The 22,858-nt window shown below is 40.5% G+C and overlaps 1 long non-coding RNA gene across 1 annotated transcript; it reads left to right on the forward strand.

Annotated features, from left to right (window-relative positions):
* The first annotated feature begins 20,145 nt into the window (after positions 1-20,145).
* Positions 20,146-22,631, forward strand: LINC02200 (long intergenic non-protein coding RNA 2200). The gene is made up of 3 exons (NR_104672.1): positions 20,146-20,320; positions 20,807-20,932; positions 22,101-22,631. It is a non-coding gene; the product is annotated as a long intergenic non-protein coding RNA 2200 (long non-coding RNA).
* The last annotated feature ends 227 nt before the right edge of the window (positions 22,632-22,858 follow it).

Consider the following 22,858-nt stretch of genomic DNA (forward strand, 5'->3'; position numbering starts at 1 on the left):
CTGTTCTGGCTGGCTTCCAAATCAGACATCATCATCAATAAGACAAAGCCAAGGGCAACTCTGGAGGCTGAAAGTAAAATAAGTTTCCCTTTTGGGTTAAAGAGCTGCCCACTCTGTGCTAATCTCCTTCTCTGAGCAACTCTCCTCCAAATCCTGCTTTCATAATGAGGCAAATGACACCTCCTCCCTCTAAAAGAAAGGATTCACACCGCTTTTGGGCAAAAATATACTTTCCAAGATGGGTGTCTGCTTAATATTTACCCAACCTCTGAATTCATCTTTCTCTCTAGTAGCTTTCTTTCTCCTGGGAAGACTACCTAAATCTTTAACCAGTAACTTAGACCTTGAAGGTTCTAACTAAGGGGCTTAGAAATAGCCCACACTTATTCAAACAAGCTCTAAAAAAAATCTAACTAAGCAATCTCCTGAGTGGGGAATAACATCCACAGTATGTAGATAACCTCCTTATCTGCTCCTCCTTCACCGGACTCGTGAAGCAACATGCAGTACAAACCATAACTTCCTAACAAAGGAAACTGATTTTTGTCTAATTCAAAGGTTATAAAGCTAAAGAGGTATGTTTGGTAAGGAGCATTATAGAGAAAAGAGATTTTGTATTAAAAGAATCATGTATGGGAAATTCTTGTCCTAAAGTAAAATAACTGGTTGTTTAAAAACAGGGATGTTTAGGACAAGTCAGAAGTTCCAAGCATATTGTAGTTGGTCTGTGTAAGTCATGAGAAAATAAAAGGGAATTTATGAGAGAAACATTCTCAAGTTGTTTTTGAGTTTTTGTCTGCAATTTAAACAACCCTGCTTATTCCTGCAAACCAACCAGTGATCTATGACTCACAAGAAACAAGAGGGATGGGTAATGTAAAAATCTGTATCAGTATTCTAATTCCGGGCACATATTGGAGTCAGCTAGCAACCACATGCACCCAAGTCTTAGCAGGCATAACTACAGCCACCAGCTACCTGGGCTGTCAGCAGCCTTAGGGTATTTTGGAGCTGTCTTCACCCCTTATTTTATTTTGACATTTATCTAAATATAATAACCTTATTTGTCCTCTCTTGTCTTAAGGCCATCAAGCTCCAGATGATCCTCAGTAAGGGATACCATCCTGTCAATGTTCAAGGGTCACCCTTCTACAAGGGACCTCTAGATTGCCCATCAGTGAAAAATTACAGAGGCAGAATCCTGCCCCTGTCTCTCTTAGACCTGGCTGGATACTGCTTCCACAAACCCACAGAGCCAACCCTGCCCTGACAGCCAGCAAGAGGCCAAAACCCACAGACCCACAACCACCACTCCTCTATCAGGAAGAAGCAGTTACAGAAGACTGACCTTCATCCATTTTCTCCAAAGATTTGGGGTCTTGAATTCGTGAGGGGGGAAATGTTACAGTCAGGCATGAGCAGGGCAGGAGAGGGCTTCCCCCAACACAGACACACCGGGAGTGTTGGGCAACCATCAGGTGATGGTCAGGCGATTGTTAACTATCTCTCTGAAGTGATAATTGGTCACAGCTGCACCAGGAAAAGGCAGTCTCCTACTAGATAGAAAACACCTGAACTGATCAGCTACTTCCTGATAAGATCTCAGGAGTTGGGAGAAGACCCCAGAAGTATGCCAACATGTAAACCCCCAAATCAAAAGATCAAACCACACACTTGTCTTTCAAGTCACCTGCTTGGCCCTCTTCCAAGTGTACTTTCCTTCTATTCATTCCTGCTCTAAAGCTTTTTTTTATTTTATTTTTATTTTTGAGATGGAGTCTCACTCTGTCACCCAGGCTGAAGTGCAGTGGCACCATCTCAGCTCACTGCAAGCTCTACCTCCCAGGTTCATACCATTCTCCTGCCTCAGCCTCCCAAGTAGCTGGGACTACAGGGACCCGCCACCATGCTCGGCTACTTTTTTGTATTTTTTTTACTAGAGATGGGGTTTCACCGTGTTAGCCAGGATGGTCTCAATCTCCTGACCTCGTGATCCGCCCGCCTCGGCCTCCCAAAGTGCTGGGATTAGAGGTGTGAGCCACCACGCCTGGCCACTAAAGCTTTTTAATAAACTTTCACTCCTGCTCTGAAACTTGACTCAGTCTTTCCTTCTGCCTTATGCCCCTCAGTTGAATTCTTTCTTCTAAGGAGGCAAGAACTGAGGTTGCTGCTGACCCATATGGATTCACCGCTGGTAATAATACTGGCAGCCTGGGGACCCTGGAATTGCTACTGGTATCTGAGTGGGACAGTCCTGTGAGACTGAACCCTTAACCTGTGGAGTCTGCACTAACTGTAGATGTTAGTGTCAAAACGGAATTGAATTATTGAACATCCAGTTAGTGTAGAAATTGGAGAATTTGGGTGAAAAAATAGCATGTATTTGGTGCCAGGAAAAAATCACACAACAGAGAAGAGCATTGGTTGCCTTGGAAGAAAAAAAAATGACTGGATTGAAAACAGCTGGCTTTTGCTATATGCTATTTTGCAGCTTTAAAAATCTTAACCATGAATGTGTATCAATTCAAAAATATAAATAAATAAAATATTAAATGAGTGAGATACATGCTAGTGGCCTTTTCAGGATTTGACAGGGGAGCTGGAAAGAAGTCTATGGATTCAAGACATATTTAAGGTAGACTCAATAGAATTTCCTGATGGAACAGATAGGGTGGATAAGGAAAGAGGAGCAGTCAAGGATGACTCCCAAGTTTCCAGTCTGTAAAATAGGCAAGTGGAGATAACATCAACTGAGATGGGTAAGACTAGGAGGACAGAGGGGAGTGTCTTAGATTCAATTCCCTACAAGTGAAGCCTTTGGGTATGTGTAGTTTTTTGAGGGAGTGCTCTACAGGAAAAGCATGAAGTGGACGAGGGAAACAGGATAGGGAAGGAGAAGAAAAAAACAAGAGAAGGCTAATGCTCCACATAAACCTCCCATAGAGTTGTCTGTGCCCTATTAAGACAAGAAGGCCAGTATCAATCTATCATTGGCTGTAAAAATAACTTCCAGCACAAGGTGGGTCATTTCAGCTGAAGGTGATTCTCCAGAGCAGAGGGCAGCTGTGCACCATTAGCAGCCAATATTCACAGCCACTGAGGAAGGGGTGCTCCAGCCCAGTAATGGGGATTGGGCAGGCCAGGAAGATAGCATCCACAACAGGAAGCAAAAACAAGAGTTTCATCTTGTGCTTGGAAAGCCTGAGATATCTTGGAGATATCAAGAGTGAAGAGGGAAGTCAGAAAGTCTGGAGCTCAGAGAGTAGGTCTGTAACAGACATACAAATATGGTAGTGTTCAACAGATAGATGGTGTTTTAAAAATTATGTGGGTATCTCTGTACTGATGCAGAAAGAGCTTTAAAATATACAGGAGAGTGAAAAAAAGCAAGATGCAGAATGGTGTTTGTAATACTGTTTTTTGTGCAAGAAAGGGAAAGAATAGGAATTAACACATGAGCTCACACATATAAACATACATAGCCACACATGTTCATTTACAAAAGGAAGCACTGGAAGAGTAAACTGATAAAAGTGCTTACCTGAGGGGTAAACACGTAGGGGTGGATGAGAATAGGTGTAAACCTGAGACTCCTCAAAGTATTTTTATGTGTATTCAACTTTTTAAATGATTGCCTATTGCAAATATAATTTTTAAGGGAAAGAAAGCCATGTGGATAGTTGAGATCAATGAGAAAAGAAAGAAAAAAACAAGGTTCAGATCCAAGTCCCAAGGATCAACATTTAGAATTTTGCTAACGGAGGAAGGACCAACAAAAAGATCAAGAAGAAACAGGTCAGGTACCAGGTGAAAGGAGAAAAGCAGCATCCTGGTGTTACAGCTCCAGCCATGGCTGCAGTGGCCACTATTGGTAACTTGATATTGGCCACGATGGAAGGATTTACACTATGGAAAGTGGAAAATGCCACCATTCAGGGCTCTTCCCCCACCCCAAGCCAGTTTACCTGCACATCACTGCAGAGAAGTGAGGAGAGACAAAGTTCTGAGAAGGCAGAAGAGTGTTTGCAATGTGAAATGTGACTGAGAGGGCAATGGGACAACGACAGAAAGATGTCTGTCATTTGTGGAGTTATCAATGTGGAGGCCATTGGTGATTTAGCAGCAGTTTTGGTGGAGAGGTGGGAATGGAAGCCTGCCTAGAGAGAAGAGCAACAAGAGGTGAAGAAGTAAAGATGCTAAGTGTAGAGTACTCTTCCAAGCTTTGCTATGAAGGGGAGAAATAAAAGCAGAAAGTTGCTGATTTGGGATCAAGGGAGGGATATGTATGTGTTTTAAGAAGACTACTATTAGAAGCAATATGTATACTGATAGAGAAGAGAGAGGACATTGAAAAGAGATCTCCACGGCCCACATGAAAGGACTCACATTTGATGGAAGGGACACCCTGTCCATTAGAGGAAGAAGTTTATGAATCTCCAAGCAGTGTTTGTGATGGGAGGTGCTCAGATACACCAGGCCCTGCAACCTCCCTGCCTGTGAAATTTCATTACCAACACCGTGACATTGTTCTTAAGACAGGGTGCACACATACGCCTTTCTCTAAGACATGTAATCGGTAAGTAAATACATTTCTAAGAGCCCTCTACATCTCAAAGAAAGCTGGGATACGTACCTAAGAACCCAGCACTCCAGCTGCAGGGAGAAGGGAACCTGCTGAAATGTGTAAATATTCCAGGCAAATGAGTTCCAAAAAGAAGATAGAGGTAATTATATCTCAGGTTTTCACTGTCTGCCACTTCTAGAGTATACTTGACTTCAAAAAGTGTTAATGTTTAATTAATACATTCTTGCTTTTAGTAGCTCAGCTAAAAGTGTTGCTTCTAGTGAACAGGAAGTACATTAAATTGAAACATAAAAGAGACTTAAAGTGCTTGGAATGAAGAAAAAGACCTTAAGAAGGTGGAAATGATGATTACCTTCACTGTTTTGAAAAGGAAAGGACTGATCTTTCACTCAAGAGGGAGGAGTTCCAGCCATTGTACCATCGTCTTTTAACCTGACTTCCATCATCTTTTAACCTGATTTCGTAGCTATGAAGAGCAATACCTTGGACAAATCACACTTGAATGGGGTCCTTGCTCTGCTAACTGGGTAACCATAGAGTTGTGTAGTGAAAACCCTTGGAATAAAATGCCTAGCACTCTGCCTGTGACGAATAATAGGCAGCAATTATTATTATTATGCTATTCATCTCTGAGAATTCTGCTATTGCTAGGTTATTACCTAAATGTGTGTGCATGACACTAGACTCACATTCTTTCCCAACCTGCTATCACAGATGAATTATCCAGTGGCTAATAACTGTGACTTTTCCATGAAGGATGAGTTCCTGTTTGCAACTCTGCTGGATTTTAAGACATTTCTATTCCAATAAAGACCTCTGTCTGTGAACAGTGTGTCCACATTGATGTCTGTAGTAACTGCTGACCAATTGACAGATTAGTATGTTTCAGGTGGAGTTGGAGGCATATTAAGAGTTTCAAACTAGTGTTTGGGACTTAACCACTTTGTTCTCAAAGGCAAGTCATTATATTGTTGGGGAAGATTTCTCCCATTCTATTTGGAAATATACCTTAGGACAAGTTCTTTGGACGCAAAACCAGAGATGGAGATTCTTGTGCAGGCAATTGACTGAGACAATGAGACAGAAAAAAACCTGTAAGGGAGTGAAAAGCAGAAGGGGAATGGAAGTTAAGAAAAGATGTGGTTTAAGGAAAAGTTTAGCCTTAGCCTGATGTCATGGGGAACTCTGCAGCATGAATTGTACTAGTTTGTTCTACTGTGAGGCAAGGGAGCTAGGCTTTTATACCACCCCCTATCAGTTAGTGATTGGCCACAGGCCACCCTTCAGGGCAGAGGGGATCATAACCTCCCTGGCTTCTGTGGACGAAATGGTTCCCATGGACTATGGGCAGTTTCCCTAAGACAGGTGCAGCTGCCCACCATTACTAGCAGCAAACACCCATAGTGAATGGGGGTTGCAAGCTCCAGCCCAGAAATAGGGGATCCGGGTGGGGCGTTGTATTAGTCAGGGTTCTTCAGAAAAACAGAACCAGTAGGATATATAGAGAGATATATGAAGAGATTTATTATAGGAATTGGCTCATGTGGTTATGAAAGCCAAGAAGTGCCACGGCCTGCCATCTGCAAGCAGGAGAACCAGAAAAACCAGTGGTGAAATTCAGTCTGCATGTGAGAGTCTAAGTGGTTGATGGGGTTAGTCCTGGTCCCCATCTGATAGCTTAAGAACCAGGAGTGCTGAGGTACAAGAATAGGAGATGGATGTCTCAGCTCAAGCAGAGGGAGTGAATTTGCCCTTCCTCCACCTTTTTCTTCTATTCTGAACCACAATGAATTGGATGCCCACCCGCATGGGGGAGGGTCATCTGCTTTACTCAGTGATTAATCTGGATATTTGTCCCCACCCCCATCCCATGTTGAAATGTAATCCCCAGTGTTGGAGGTGGGGCCTGGTAGAAGGTGTTTGGATCATGGGGGCTGATATGGTGAGGCTTTGTGTCCCCACCCAAATTTCATCTTGAATTGTAATCCTCATAATCCCCATAATCCCCATGTGTCAAAAGAGAGACCAGGTAGAGGCAATTGGTCATAGCTCTTTGCCTTGATGAAGTAACCCAAACCTTCATTCCTGAAGAATTTAGGCCATTAGTAGTCCTGCCTGGATTGGGTTTGTTATAGTTTCCCATGGACCTTAATCACAGGGCATGGTAATACTGAGATACACTCTAAGGAATCTCCTGTATTCCAGACACACTCTACCTTACCTCCATTGTGGAGTAGTAGTGCAATTTCCCCTTGGTAGTCAGGATTAATCACCCCAGCTAACACTACAACTCACAACTCCCTTCTTTTCCTGTTGATTCAGAGGCATGAAGAGTCAAAGTCATCAAGTGGCAGTCTTAAGTTACACTTTAGTTGAATCGTTGCTAATGTCTCCTAGTGGAAGCAATTCTCCCTCAGGAACTAAGACTTCTATGCCAGCAGAGCATAAAGTCTTGGTAGCAGAAAGTAAAACTTTTGTTAGTGAGTCACTAATGAGTGTTAGGAGTAATAGTGAGAGGTACCACTCCCATTTACACCCCTTGATTCCTGGACCCATGAATCTTGGCTGTCTAAGAAACAGCACCACATATTGAATGTTGATTCAGAGCATATACAGCCTTCTGGAGAACCCTGCCCAGCCCTGCAAGGTATTGCCACCTGCCTGGCACTACGAGTCTTCAAAAAGGCCATCCACTGTTCCATCAAGCCAGCTCCTTCAGGATGGTGCGGAACAAGGTAAAACTAGTGAATTCCATGAGCATGAGCCCATTACTGCACTTCTTTGGTTGTGAAGTGAGTTCCTTGGTCAGAAGCAATGCTGCATGGAATATCATGATGGTGGATAAGGCATTCTGTAAATCCATGAATTGTAGTTTTGACAAAAGCATTGTGTTTTTCAGAGGAGACAAATCCAGAGTATCTACTCCAGCAAGGAAAAAACACTGCTCCTTCCAAGTGGTCCGATGTAATCAATCTGCCACCAGGTAGCTGGTTGATCATGGGGAATGATGCCATATCGGGGCCTCCGTGTTGCTCTCTGCTGCTGGCTAATTGGTCTCTCAGCAGTAGATGTAGCCAGGTCAGCCTTGGTGAGTAGAAGTCTGGGTTACTGAGCTCATGTATAACCTTCATCCCTGTCACCATAACTGCTTTGCTCATGAGCCCATCAGGCACTGACAGGGAGAGCTGGGGTAAGAGGCTGACTGGCAGTCACAGAATGGGTCAACCTATCCACTTAATTACTAAAATCACCCTTTGCTGAGGTCACCATTTGGTGAGCACTCACATGGGACACAAACATTTTTGTGGGTTTTTTGTTTTTGTTTTTTTGCCCACTCAGAGAGGTCTATCCACATACTTCTTGCACAAATTTCTTTGTCATCAATTTTCCTCCCAATTCTACTATGTCACATAGCTTTGGTCAATAGCCACTCTCAATATAATCTTGGGCATCATGCACAATTTCTGAACCTTCTAACATAGTCTTGGGAGCATCAAAACGAGATAAACAACAGCAAAAAGCAAATCATCACAAGGTCCCTGCATTTGTTTGTTTTCCCAAGGAAAGAAAGATAATTTTGAAACGTAATACTGGAATTATATTTACGTGAAATGGAAAATGACTATTCTTCGCAGAACCGGAAATCACTTTTTTGGCACCTGAATACACACGTATACAACATGTATCAATTCTGTTGCCTGCAGTCAAGCAAAAGTTCTCTGTTTTTAAAATAAGAGCATTACATTCTCTTCCATTATACTAATTTATGTAGGTTAATATCACCTTAAATACTATATAAAGTATAATTTCTATCTGATCGTTTCACTTCATTTATTTAAATATGTAACACTGTCTTTTTAACCCCATATGTTGGAAAAATTTTATACTGAACACATTGGTTTTTCAGTATAAAATAAAGTGCAAGTTTAGCACACTGCAACAAACCAGCAGAGCCGCAAGAAGAATACCTTGGGCTGGATTTGGTCCATGATGTGAGCATTCTTGGTGGCTTCTTCTCTACAGCAGGGTGTTTAGGAAGTCCTAGCAAATCTGGCTCTGTACCAAGTAATTCAGGGGCACATTTTTTTGCCTGTGAATCAAATGAAACACCCCTTGGCAGACCCACCCATGGAAGGCCCCAGGAACAGCTGGGTGAAATTAAATGGCATTTATTCCTGTATTGGTTATGGCCAGGAGCCAGGAGTTCTACGCCCAAGACACAGCCTGCAGTGCACATGAGCAGCGGTATTGATTGTGGCTGCAGCTCCACTTTCATTTTGCACAGGATGTGAAGCATTAATTTTTCTACTTAAAATATTACTGAAGGATATGGACGGACTGTTCATTTTTTGCTCTTGGCCCAATTTTTCTGATACCCAGATAATTCTCACATGTCTGTACAATAAAGGGGAGAATTGCACGATTTTGTTATAGAGTCAGATGACTTGTGCAACTAATCCAGTCAGAAATGTCCACAACGATCTGGTCTCATATTCACTAAGTAACTGTCTAGTAATTTCGTGTGACATTTTGAGCACTGGACTTTGGAGTCACAAAGACTCAATACTATAAAATATCATTTCCCTCAAATTAATCTGTTAGTTCATCTGGGAGATTAAATGTGCTGAAAAAGCTGAGAATCTTTCGGGGAAGGGGTGAAAGACTTCTGAGATGGCGACCCACCTTATCAGATGAAAAACTTGCTGTCAAGCTATAGTAACTTCAGCGGTGTGGTAGTAGGTGAGAAGAGCTATTCAGGCGGATGGGACCAAACAGAGAGCCCAGAACAAGACTCATATGCCTATGGAAATTTAGTATGTAATACATTTTGTGATTCAAATCTGTGAAGAAGGTATAGATTATTAGGGAAGTTGTGTTGAGACTTGGAAAAAAATTAAATTACAATGTTACCATTCAGGATATACTACCACTCTCCTCAATCCAGATGAATTAAAGATTTAAACACTTTAAAATCTATAATTGACGAGAAGAAAATATCAAATTTGTGTGTGTCTGTCATGTGGAAATAGAAAAAAGCCTTTCTAAACACAAGCCTAAGCCAGGTGCAGTGGCTCACACCTATAATTCCAGTGCTTTGGGAGGCCAAGGAGGGAGGAGCACTTGAAGCCAGGAGTTCAAGACCAGCCTAGGCAATATAGTGAGACCCCATCTATACAAAAAATTACAAAACAAATTAGCCAGGCATAGTAGTGCATGCCTGTAGTCCCAGCTACTTGGGAGGATGAGGCAGGAGGACCACTGGAGCCCAAGAATTCAAGGCTGCAGTGAGCCTAGGATCATGCCAATACACTCCAGCCTCGGCAGCAGAGGAAGACTCTGTCTCTAAAAAAATTTATTAAATAAAATAAATAAACACAACCCTAAACCCTGGAGTCATAACAGAAAAGATGACTTCATTTGATTCTACATAACTAAAATAAACAGTTTAGGGAAAAAGAAATACAAATTCCTATTTACATGTAAAAAAGATGTTCACTCTTATAATTAAGGAAATACAAACTAAGCATTAAAAAAAATTTGCCCATCAGGCAATTTTTTAAAGTTTCAGAATCAATATTAGTGAGAAAATGAGGAAAGGAGCACTTTCAGAGAAAAGAGTGTTTGTATGACTTTTATAAAAGCAAGTTGACAATATCAATAAAAATTTTAAATGCACATACTTTCCTGACAATTCCATATTGACATGGCAAAAATATGTCAAGAAATTTATTGCAGCATTGCATATATCAACAAAAACTATAATAGAAACAACTTAACCAGTCCACTATTGCTGGCTATTTTGATTGTCTCCATTAACTGTACAACCAGAAAAATAAGTAAATTATGATATATCCAGGTGATAGAATATTATTTAGTCACTAAAAAATCCTGATATATAAAATCACAAGACATATAAATAAATGGAAAAAAATTTATAATACAGAAAATTCTTTATATTTTTTTGGAGATGGAGTCTCGCTCTGTGGCCCAGGCTGGAGTGCAGTGGTGCGATCTCAGCTCACTGCAAGCTCCCCCTCCTGGGTTCACACCATTCTCCTGCCTCAGCCTGCCGAGTAGCTGGGACTACAGGCACCCGCCACCACGCCCACCTAATTTTTTGTATTTTTAGTACAGATGGGGTTTCACCGTGTTAGCCAGGATGGTCTCGATCTCCTGACCTCGTGATCCGCCCGCCTCAGCCTCCCAAAGTGCTGGGATTACAGGTGTGAGCCACCGTGCCCGGCAGAAAATTCTTATAGAAAATTCTTATAGATATGTAATAAATGAAAAATGATCCAATGTGTACTTTTTTTTCGTTTTTGAGACAGAGTCTCGCTCTGTCACCCAGGCTGGAGTGCAGTGGCACAATCTCGGCTCACTGCAACCTCTGCCTCCCAGGTTCAAGGGATTCTACTGCCTCAGCCTCCCAAGTAGCAGGGACTATAGGCATACACCACCATGCCTGGCTAATTTTTTGTCTTTTTAGTAAAGATGGGGTTTCACCATATTGGCCAGGCTGGTCTCAAATGCCTGACCTCAGGGGATCCACCCACCTCAGCCTCCCAAAGTGCTGGGATTACAGGCATGAGCCACTGTGCCCAGCCTATGTGTACATTTTTTCAAAATGATATATGTATATAATAGAAACATAGGCATATGCATATCACTTTTTTCTAAAGTTAACATTGTTCATAGTGATTACCTTTAGGGAGATGTTCTAGGGATGGCAGTGGGGGGCAGGAGGGGAGGAGCAATAGCAGGAATCAGCTGTGGAAAGGTTGATTTGTGCTAAATTGTGAATTGAATTGAATGCCAAGCTCAGGATTTGGAATGTGAAGGTAGGCAACAGTAAACCATTGTATAATTTTTTTTTTTTTTTTGAAACAGAGTCTCACTCTGTCGCCAGGCTGGAGTGCAGTGGTGCGATCTCAGCTCACTGCAACCTTTGACTCTCTGGTTCAAGCAATTGTCCTGCCTCAGTCTCCCAAGTAGCTGGGATTACAGGCATGCGCCACCTCGCCCAGCTAATTTTTGTATTTTTTAGTAGAGATGGGGTTTCACAATGTTGGCCAGGATGGTCTGGATCTCCTGACCTCCTGATCCGCCCACCTCGGCCTCCCAAAGTGCTGGGATTACAGACATAAGCCACCACGCCCAGCCTATTTTTACTAAATACATTAAAAAACCAAAAGACAAATAAATGATATATAGTGAAAATGATATGCAATGATGGTAATAGAAGGTGTGACATTTGGGAAGAGATTAGGTCAGAGGAGCAGAGCCCTCATGAATGAGATTCATGCCCTCATACAAGAAGCCATGAGAGACCCCACACTCCTTCCACCATATGAGGTTGGAAGGAGGAGAGAGCTGCCTATGAGGAAGCAGGCCCTCACCAGACACCGACATCTGCTGGCAACTTGATCGTGGACTTCCCAGCCTCCAGAACAGTGAGAAATAAATTTCTGATGTTTACAAGCCACCAAGTTAATGGTATTTCTTACAGCAGTCAGAACAGAATGAGATGTCATTCCTTTGTGTGGCTGCATATTATTCAATTTTAAGGACCACCATAATTTATTTAACTAGTCCACTATTGCTGGCTATTTGGATTATTTCCATTATTTTTCTACAAAAAAAAATATACTCCTACATACCTACAGGGGTAATATTTAATGTTTTCCAATTTAAGTATACCATGGTCATCAACCTTTTAGGGGAGTACCAGGCATGAACCAACCAGTTGGGTGTTGTCTTAGTCCATTTGCACTGCTGTAAAGGAATACCTGAGGCTGGGTAATTTGTAAAGAAATTTACAAATTTCTTTACGATTTACAAAAATCGTTCTGCAGGCTGTACAAGAAGTGTGGCACCAATATCTGCTTCTGGTGAGGGCCTCAGGAAACTTCCACTCATGACAGAAGGGGAGAGGAGCTGGAATCACTTGGCAAAGAGGAGGAAAGAGAGAGGGGAGGGAGGTGCCAGACTCTTAACTGGCATAGCTCATGGGAACTAAGAGTGAGAATTCACTCAATCCCATGAGAATAGCACCAAATCATTCATGAGGGATCTGCCCTCCTGACTCAAACACTTCCCACTGGACCCTGCCTCCAACATTGAGGATCACATTTTAATATGTGATTTGGAGGGGACAAATATCCAAACTATATCAGGTCTTATGTGCTTCAGTTAAATACTAGTCCTGAAAAATCTTTTGGCATGTAATTAAATACATCTGTAAAATGTAGAATCTATAGAATCCACAACTGCATTTTCAGAAACAGAACTGCTGGACCAAAGGGTATAGGCATCTAACATATATTGCCAAATTGCCCTCCATAGGAGTTATATTCTCTCTGGCTCTTGATGATAGTGACTGCTTCTCTAAAACCACCAACAGAGTATGGTATCAAATTTTGGCATTTTTGCCCATCTAATAGCTGGCAATGATATCTTAGGATAGTTTTAATGTTCATTTCTCTTTATATAAATGAAGCACAGTTGAACAAGTTTTCATATGTTTAAGAAATCTTTGTGGTCTTTTTTGCAAGTTGGATGTTCATATCCTTTGTTTTTTCTATGTTATTCTGTATATTGATGGTTTTTTTTCTTACTAATTTCTAGGAGTTCTTATACAATCAGGAGATTAGCTGATTATCTATGATATGAATTACAATTTCTTCCTCAGTTAATCAATTATCTTGTGGCTTTGCTCCTGGTGTTCTCCAGTGTGTTCATTTAATAGCAGTAAAGTTTTCACATTTAGTTCTATGATCTATTTGGAATTTATCCTGCTGCCAGCTGGCAGGTATGGACCTAACTATATTGTTTCATTGAAGATTTTTGCAATTTGTCTTACATAACACCATGGCCATTTCCTGTGCTGATAAACGATGAACCTGATACAGAGATTAGTGATATATTTTCCACCCAATGCCTGACAACCCATAATTGACATTGTAGCAGATGCTGCAGGCTTCCCAGCTGACAGCGATTTCTTCCATCTTCCTCACTGCCAAGCCCGAACTTTGCTTGGGTGACTATCTCTCCTTTGTATGACTTACGGTAAATCTTGGTTAACTTAAGCCTCCCATCATCATTCCATTCTTCTCTCAGTGATTGGTTTCATGGTGGTCTGTGATCTAGTTCTAGCCAATGAGATGTGGAAATGTGGAGAAGTTCTGCTGGAAGGCTTCTTCAAAAAAGTTTTGTTTTTGTTTTTTTTTTTGACACAGGGTCTCACCTTGTCACCCAGGCTGGAGTGCAGTGGCACAATCACAGCTCACTGCAGCCTCGACATCCTGGGCTCAAGTGATCCTCTCACCTCAGCATCCCCGAATAGCTGGAGCTACAGGTGCATACCACCACACTTGGCTAATTTTGCTGTTGTTGTTCTTTTTTTTTTTCAATGCTAGCCCAAAATATTACCAGCTAATTTTTGAATTTTTGTAGAGATGGGGTTTCACCATATTGCCCAGTCTTCACTCTTATGAGAATAAAAAGGGGGGGAAATCCCCTCGTTTCCTTTTGAGAGGCATTTTTAGATTTGCATGGGCCTCCAGGAACCAAGGCAGCCTTCTACCTGTGAGAGAAGGCAATCAAAGATGAAGCCAACTGCTGCACTTGACAGTGCAGGAAGATGCATCCTAAAACCTGGTGGGTATCATTGACTTGTTGAATTAACCATCCTGCAGCCACCTCCCTCTGGACTTCTGTTTAAATGAGAATACATTTTCTTCACTGTTAAGCAAGGTAGATTATCTGTTAAGGTTTTTGGAAGTTGTATGATATTTTAGTTTATATCACATTGACCTGTATTTAGCATTTATAGATGCTGGGAAAAGTCGTCATTTTGAGGGTGGCCATGTGCCCATCAAAAAGTCAGCGTCCTCTTTCTGAGAAAAAATGAGAATAAACATTAGATGACAAAAATCAGTCTTTGCCAGAATAACTAACTCTGCCTTTTTTCCTACCTCCCAAATTCTTATTATGTGAGATAATGAGTATCATTATTATTTGAACCCCTTGGTTTGCTATCCTAAGTGATGTACCTTATTCCATTAGCCTTTCTACTGTACGAATGATGGCAAAATTTCACCGTATGGCTGAACTATGATTTAGTTATTGCTTCCCCTAATTTTGAATATGTAATATGTGTCCACTTTTGCTCTTGAAAATACTACAATGATGAGCACTTAGGCTCATTGCATTCGTGATATATTGCATTTCTGATGATCACTTTAAAATATAAATTCCTAGATAGGTTAAAGAATAGAAACTTTAAAAGTATTTATTTTTTTCATTGACCAACAAAAATTTTATATATTTACAGTATATAGCATGTTGTTTGAAAATATGTATACATTGTGGAATGGCTAAATTGAGCTAAGTAATATATGTATTACTTCATATACTTATCTCTTTTTTGTGGTAAGGACACTTAAAATCTACTTTTAATCATTTTCAAGAATATAGCACATTATTATTTACTGTAGTCACCAAGTAGTACAATAGAACTCTTGAAATTATCCCTCTTATCTAGCTGAAATTTTGTATCCTTTGACCAATATCTCCCCAGTCCCTGGCAATTACCTTTCTATTCTCTATTTCTATTAGTTCAACTTTTTAAGATTCCACACATAAGTGAGATCATGCAATATTTGTCTTTCTGTGCCTGGCTTGTTTTATTTAATGTCCTCTAGGTTCATCCATGTTGTCACAAATATCGGCATTTCTTTCTATTTTCAAGGCTGAATAGAATTTCACTGTGCATATATACCACATTTTCTTTTTTTCCTTTTTCTTTTTTTGGGGACAGGGTCTCTCTCTGTTGCCCAGGCTGGAGTGCAGTGTTGGGATAATAGCTCACTGCATCCTCAAACTCCTGGGCTCAAGGGATCCTCCTGCCTCAGGCTCCTGAGTATCTAGGACTACAGGCATGTGCCACCATGCCCAGCTAATTAAAAAAAAAATTGTTTTTAGAGATGGAGTCTTGCTCTGTTGCCCAACCTGGTCTCAGACTCCTGACCTCAAGGGATCCTTCTTGGCTCAGCCTCCTAAAGTGTTGGAATTATATGTGTGAGCCACTGCATCCAATGAATACTACAATTTTTTTATCCATTCATCTGTTGATGGACACTGTGGTTGATTCCATTTCTTGGCTATTGTGAATAATGCTGCAATGAACACGAAAGTGCAGATGTCTCTTTGAGATACTGATTTCATTTCCTATGGATGCATATCCAGTAGTAAAATTGTTGGATCATATGGTAGTTCTATTTTTAAGTTTTTGATTAACCTCCATACTGTTCTCTGTAATGGCTGTACTAATTTACATTCCCACCAACAGTGCGCGAGAGTTCCATTTTGTCTTTCTGACAAAAGCCATACTAACAAGTGTGAGATGATATCCCATTGTGTTTTTAATTTAAATTTCTCTGATGATTAGTAATGTTGACCTTTTTTTCATATACCTGTTGGCTATTTGTAAGTTTCCTTTGAGAATGATCTATTCAGCAAAGTTGCAAAATGAAAAATCAGCATACAAAAATCAGTAACATTTCTATACACTGACAATGAAGTATCTGAAAAAAAATCAGGAAAAAATCTTATTTACAATAGCTACAAAAAAAAATACTTAGGAATAAATTCAGCCAAGGAAGCGAAAGATCTGTACGCTGAAAACTATAAAACATTGATGAAAGAAAGAGAAAAACACACAAATAAATGAAAGATATCTCATGTTCTTAGATTAAAAGAATTAACATTGTTAAAATGTCCATATTGCCCAAAACAATCGACAGATTCAATACAATCCCTATCAAAATTCCAATGATATTTTCACAGAAATAGAAAAACAAATCCTAACATTCGTATAGAAAAACAAAAGACCCCGAACTGCCAAAGCAATCTGAGCAAAAAGAACAGAGATGGAGACATCACACTATCTGACTTTTGCATTAATTTTAATTTTTTAAAATATTGCATAAAATTAGTATTATCTTGATTCTTAGGTTTTTTAGTACCACCTTACATTTTGCGCCTGAGGTAAGCACCTCACTGGCCTCATTTGAGCCCCAGCCACCACATCCCCGGGGCACATAACAGCATGTGTGCAGGGTTTCTAGATGATATGACCCTAGCTTCTGCTTTTTAACTTTTGGGACCTAAGTCTCCTCAATTCTAAAAATGACTACTTTTCCAGAGACTCTCTGGGTTGCTCACCCAACTTTTCTCTTTACCTTACTTAGCTTCTTTATGATAGGAAAAATGCCAAAAAAAAAAAAAGAATCTCAGCTGAATAAGCCCTAACAACAAATCTGTGTGGGGAACTTTGAAATATGATTTAGAACCACAAAAGCCAGTTGTTTATTTTGAATCAAGTCAGCAGATTGTCATGCTTAAGGCAATATATGTACAAAGCTCTTTGGAAGTTAAATTTGTTTTATTATAATAGCAAGTGTTTTTATCTTTTCTAACCCATAGGCAACTGATGTATTTTTCTGCAGTCAGGTTGGGACAGGAGGCAATTTCAGATAAATTACCTCTTACTACACTCTTGAGACACCGTTCAAGCTGCTGCGTAGGAACTTGCAAGAAAGGGTATTTGGTGGATTCTTAAAGGGGACAGAAAAAGAAAATTTAAAGAGTCGTTCCAGTACAGTAGCCATTCAAAGAAAAGGGTTGGGTGAAGTGGTTTTTATATTCAGCCCCTATGTATCTTCTTCAGCTTGGGATTCAAATAGATTAGTAAGTGCTATGATAGAAATAAAAAATTGAAATCAGTGGGAAAATGTCAATTTTTCACCAAACAGCATTTTGAAATGTCTGTTCAGCAGGAGGCTGAAAATGTGGCTGTTCTACTGTACAGCTTGTGTAGATATAAGACAACCCGCAGCCCAGCTGAGTTTCTGTGCTCTTGTGTCTTCCCTCTGCTGTCAGACTACCAGCTCATTAGTATTTAAATTAGCTCATAAATATTTCCTGGAAATCCACAGTTGCTTAAGCTTCACCTCTATTCATCTCTTCACTCTCCTTCTTTAGTCTTACTTACGCCTTTGTTTCTTAGGCTGATACATTGCAGGAGGGTGGATCTCATTACATATTAATCTTACTGATATATGGTGTTGAAAAAGGAAAGGAGGAAGCCCTGTTGGAAGATAAAGATGAGAAATAGAGAAAGGATGTAGAAGGAAATTTTATTCCATTTCCTTTGTACAAATAAAATTATCTAATGATGGAGCAAGAAGTCTGTATAAAATAAGAACAGCCCAAAAGCATATGCCAAGGCAATTCGACCTGAATAAATGTTTCTTTCACATACTCCTTAAAAGCTTTGAAACACAGACGAAACATTTCACTGGGGGCAGGCCCTGGATGTTCCCACTGGGGAAATGGTTGCATAGTTACCAAACCTCTTCTGTTCAACATGAGAGCTGTAATTCTAATTATAAAATAATGATGACAGAGAGGGGCCAGTTCCATCATGATATTCTGTATGTTCCTTAGCACTCTGCAAGAGTTCAACACTAATACCCACATACAATGCCAACAGCCAGTTCTTTTAAATGAGTGTGAATAAAATTTAACCAATGACAATGAAAGAAAACAAATATATTTCATTGAATTTAAAGTTCCATTGATCAAAAGTGCCATTATTTTATATAAAACATTTGTAAGTGCTACCAATAAAACTTGGGTACATTATTGGTCATAAGTACGTCCTGATTTCAGAGATGTGAAAAAAATGTGAATCAGTGAAATATGTTAATTTTTAAAACAGGGTATCCAGGAAAGAATAAAGATTATTTGGTGGCTGTATGATTTGAAAGGATGTGAAAATAGTGTTAATCTCTTTAGCAGGAGCATGCGCTCTAAGAAGCAATCACTTTTCTAATATCATATACTTGAGAGATATAAGAAGCATAGAGAAGCAAAACTTTTGGGAACGATCCTGACTGTTTGCACAGGCTGGGGACAGTAAGGGCCTTGTCATTAGCTGTCTCATGTCATTTGATCACGTGCTCCAAAGGTCTTCTAGAAATAAACTTCAGAATAAACATGGAGACCCGCCAGGCCCAGTCAATGAAGATATAATTTTAGGCTAAGAGGTATCCAGTCCTATTAAGTGCAGTCTAGACAACCTAGGCTGGCATTCAAGGCCCCACAAAATCTGATTTAAAGCTTTTTTTTTAGTTTTTTCCTCTTTTGTTTTTCCATATGTAATTGATACTTCCACCAAATTGAATTACTGGACTTTCTAAAACCTATAGTGTATTACCTCAATCCCCTGTCTTTGTTTATACCAGAGTTTCTCAACCTTGGCACTGTTGACATTTTGGGCTGGAAAATTTTTTTTTGTGGGGATGTCCTGTGCATTGTAGGATTTTTGGTAACGTCTCTGGCCTCTATCCGCTAGATGCCGGTAGCACCTCCTCCCAGTTGTAACAACCAAATATACCTCCAGACATTGTCAAATGTCCCTGGGGGTAAAGGGAGAAAATTACCACTGGTTAAGAACCACTGTATACAACCATGCTGGCATAGTGAAAGGATGCAAACTTTGGCATCAAATGTACATGAGTTGAACTCTAGCTTTCTGGGGTGAACATTTGAATTTGGGGGGCACTCTGTGCCCATTCCCTCTTTCTGATAGTAACTCATTTTCCTTTGGGGGAACAATATTTTTGTTCCACTGTATGTAGACTCGATGAAACTCTAAGTCTTGGAAACCATGTCTTGCCCACCCTTCTCCAAAGTGGAACTGAGCTCAGTCCATCTCATACTTTCTCCCAGCACTTCTACCATCTTGAGCAGAATGATAGCAAGAATGGGAAAAAACTTTGGCGTGAATTGACTGCTAGATGGGATGGTTGTATCTGTGTCTATCCAATACTCTATGCTTGTATCTATCCTAACACCTGTCCCTTTTCTGATTTGGGTTTCTAGATTCCCATTCTCTCTGTATCCCAGTATCTCTCCAATTAATGACCTTTTAGGCTAAATATGCCAGAGTTGTTTTCTGTTGCTTATCTGCAAAGATACCTCTATTTACTAGCTTTGTATTTTGAACCAGTCTCTTCATATCTCCAAACCTGTGTTCCCTTTCTGCAAATTGAAAATAAAACTATTTACCTTTCAAATGCAAAAGATGCTCTCCCCATAATCTCTTTAAAATCTACCTTCATTAGTCTAGGTTCTGTGCTAAATCCTGGAGATGAATAAGACAAAACCTATGTTTTTATGAGACTCATTTTCTTCCAGTGACAAAAGTAACAGCAGGACTCAGACAAAAAAAACAAAGCAAAAAAAAAAAAAAAAAAAAAAGCAAAAACAGTACCAGCAGGTCAAACAGCATTGGCTGAAATTGGCCTTTATCCTCAGCACGGCTCCAAACCACTTCATTTTGCGCTTACTCCTTGCTAATGGCCTCCCTCCCTCCTTTTCAGCACAGAATGCAGTGTTGGGAGGGGAGAGAAGGTTCCTGTCAAGGAGCTTTATGCATTCATTATTCTATACCCCCAGCCTGGCCAAAGCTGCTGAAGTGTCTGAGATTCTGCAGTACTGCTCTGTTAGCAGCAGGAGCAAATGAAAGAATTCAGTGTCAGCATTTTCTGTTTCTCATCTGACAAACAAGGTCAGGTACTTCTTTGAACAACCCAGTTCCAATAGCTGTGAAACATAAAGAGACAAGCAGGGGAAGATTTTCCAGAAAGGCTGGTGGCTAGGCACAAGGTGGGTTTAAGTTTACAGCTTTTGTTGTGGAAGAGGAAAGTTCCCCGCATCCCAGGCATCCCTTTTTCAGAATGGGGAAAAAGAATCCGGGGTGAAAGGCTCTTTTGTACTTCTTTGCTTCTTGCACTGAAGTGGCAGGTGCAGACCTTGGTTCCCAGGGGAATCAGAATGTCATTGCCATCCAGGTTTATGGCCATTAGTCCTGATTCTTACTGTTTGTCAATGCCGCTGAAAACTCTGAGCATTGAAGCAGATGAAAGAGAAAGTTCTACAAGCGGTTGGAAGAAATGGGTGCTCTGGAGGTCAGGGCTGAAGTGAGGAGTTTTGAGAGTTGAGGTTCAGGCTGTGAGGATTGTATCTCTCCCCCAGCAATCCTCTGCCAAGTGAGCCCTTTATATGCAAGGCAGTTTATATCTCACACACCTCTCTGTGCACCTTCTGTTTTTAACTCCCCAGGAGTAAATTTTTCAGCCTCTTTCTTTATAGCAAATTACACCATTAATGTCATCCTGGCGAATGAAACAAGAGAATAGTATTTATCAGAGAAAGTCTGGTGAGTTGAAGTCCAAGACCCCAGGAAACAACTAGCCCTGCTGGGCTGCCCCTCCTTCGGTAAGTAACTAAGCACTACATATTCTGTTTTCTGTGGATTAGTTTCTTTTTTAAATGTTTGGGGGGTTTTTTGTTGTAGCTATTTGTTGGTTTTTGAGACAGAGTCTTTGCTCTGGAGTGCAGTGGTGCAATCTCAGCTGACTTCAACCTCTGCCTCCCAGGTTCAAGCGATTCTCCTGCCTCAGCCTTCCGAGTAGTTGGGACTACAGGCATGTACAACCATGCCTGACTAATTTTTGCATTTTTAGTAGAGACAGGGTTTCACCATGTTGGCCAGGCTGGTCTTGAACTCCTGACCTCAAGTGACCCGCGTGCCTCTGCCTCCCAAAGTGCGGGGATTATAGGCATGAGCCACTGCGCCCACCCTCTTTTTAAAATGTTTAATGAAACATTGAAAGCTTTTTCTGGGCAGAGAAAAGTGTGACATCAGTAGAGACCCCAGATTTTCTGTTGGATATCTTTACCTGGATGCCCCACAATACCCTCAAAACTAACATGTCTTCAGACAATCTCATAACCTTCATCCATAAACTTATCTTTTTCCTGTTCCCCCTCTCTTAGTGAGTGGCACCACCATCCACATAATGCCTATCCAGACAGCTGGGAGTCACCTTAACCAATCCCTCTCCCACACATCCTGCCTGTCCTAACATTCCATAGGTCAACAAAGCCTGCATCCTCTCAAAACTATCATCTGCTGTTTATCCCCACTGCCACTCTCTTATTCCAGGACTGTATTGTCTCGGGAATTCCAGTAAGGAGAAAGACAGTCAGCCCCAAACAATATAAGTAAACTCAAAGTCACTTTCTATAGTACCTCATCCCCAATTGTAGTCCCCTCCTCAAGGTGAGTACTGGCTATTGCTAGGAGTTTGATGTGTAAGCCTTCTATTGTGTTTACATGCCTTTTCAGATATATTCCTGTACATACAAAAATATATGACTGAATCACATAAATGTTCTGTATAAAATATCCTGCATTTAAAAATTTTACCCAGCAACTATATTGAAGGTATTTCCAAATAAGTATAAATAAATATGTTTAAATCTGTATAGTATTCCAGGGTGGAGGACATCTGTCCTTTTGCCAGAACCTTGATTTTCCCTTGGGAAATTGCCTCCTACACTGTTTGTTCATGTGACTCACCACCTTACCTCTTCCCTTCAGGAGTGGGACTATATGATCCTCATCAGGCCAATCCACGTCACAGAATGGTCTAGGCATTGGATGAGTGCCTCAATCTGAGCCAATGAAGGTCATTGCTGAGACATTTTACTGGTTGCCAGGCTGCAGGCATCCCAGGCTTCCTGCTGCCCTCATGTCTACAACCTGTCGTCTGGAACATTCCAGGAGCCACTTTTATCACTTGCAGCAATCTTCTTCAGTGAGTTCCCCAGGACTTGATTTCATCTTACAATCTGATTCCATGTGTCTCCCATATTTTAAGGATTCTTTATTATTTCTGGCTTACAGAGAACAAACATTATTTTTTGCTTTCCTGGTCTGTTCTAGATTTTCAAAAATAACTCTGTCACTTCTGTTATATGGTATCATTGCTTGTAATTATCTATTTACTTATCTGTCTCTGGACTGGACTCTTTACAGACAGGCAATAACTAATTATCTGTCTGTCTGGCATTTGGTAGTCACTCATAAATCGTTTATTGCATTACTAACTAAATAAAAAAGTTGACCTTGCATTCACCTCCTCTGGATGTTTCAAGAGACTCTAATGCTTTTTAAAGTAAAACTTTTTATACTAGTTTATAGTGGATTATTGTTGAGAAAATATTTACTTCCCCTATCAGAATTCTATGAAAGAAATACATTTCTTCTTCCTTGATGTTAACCTTGGCCATGGGACACTCTTGGGCCAGTGGGATGTTAGTGGACAAGATGTGAGTGAAGACTCAGCATGTGCGTGA

Source organism: Homo sapiens, chromosome 5, assembly GCF_000001405.40.
Source record: "Homo sapiens chromosome 5, GRCh38.p14 Primary Assembly".
NCBI classification, from domain to species: Eukaryota; Metazoa; Chordata; class Mammalia; order Primates; family Hominidae; genus Homo; species Homo sapiens.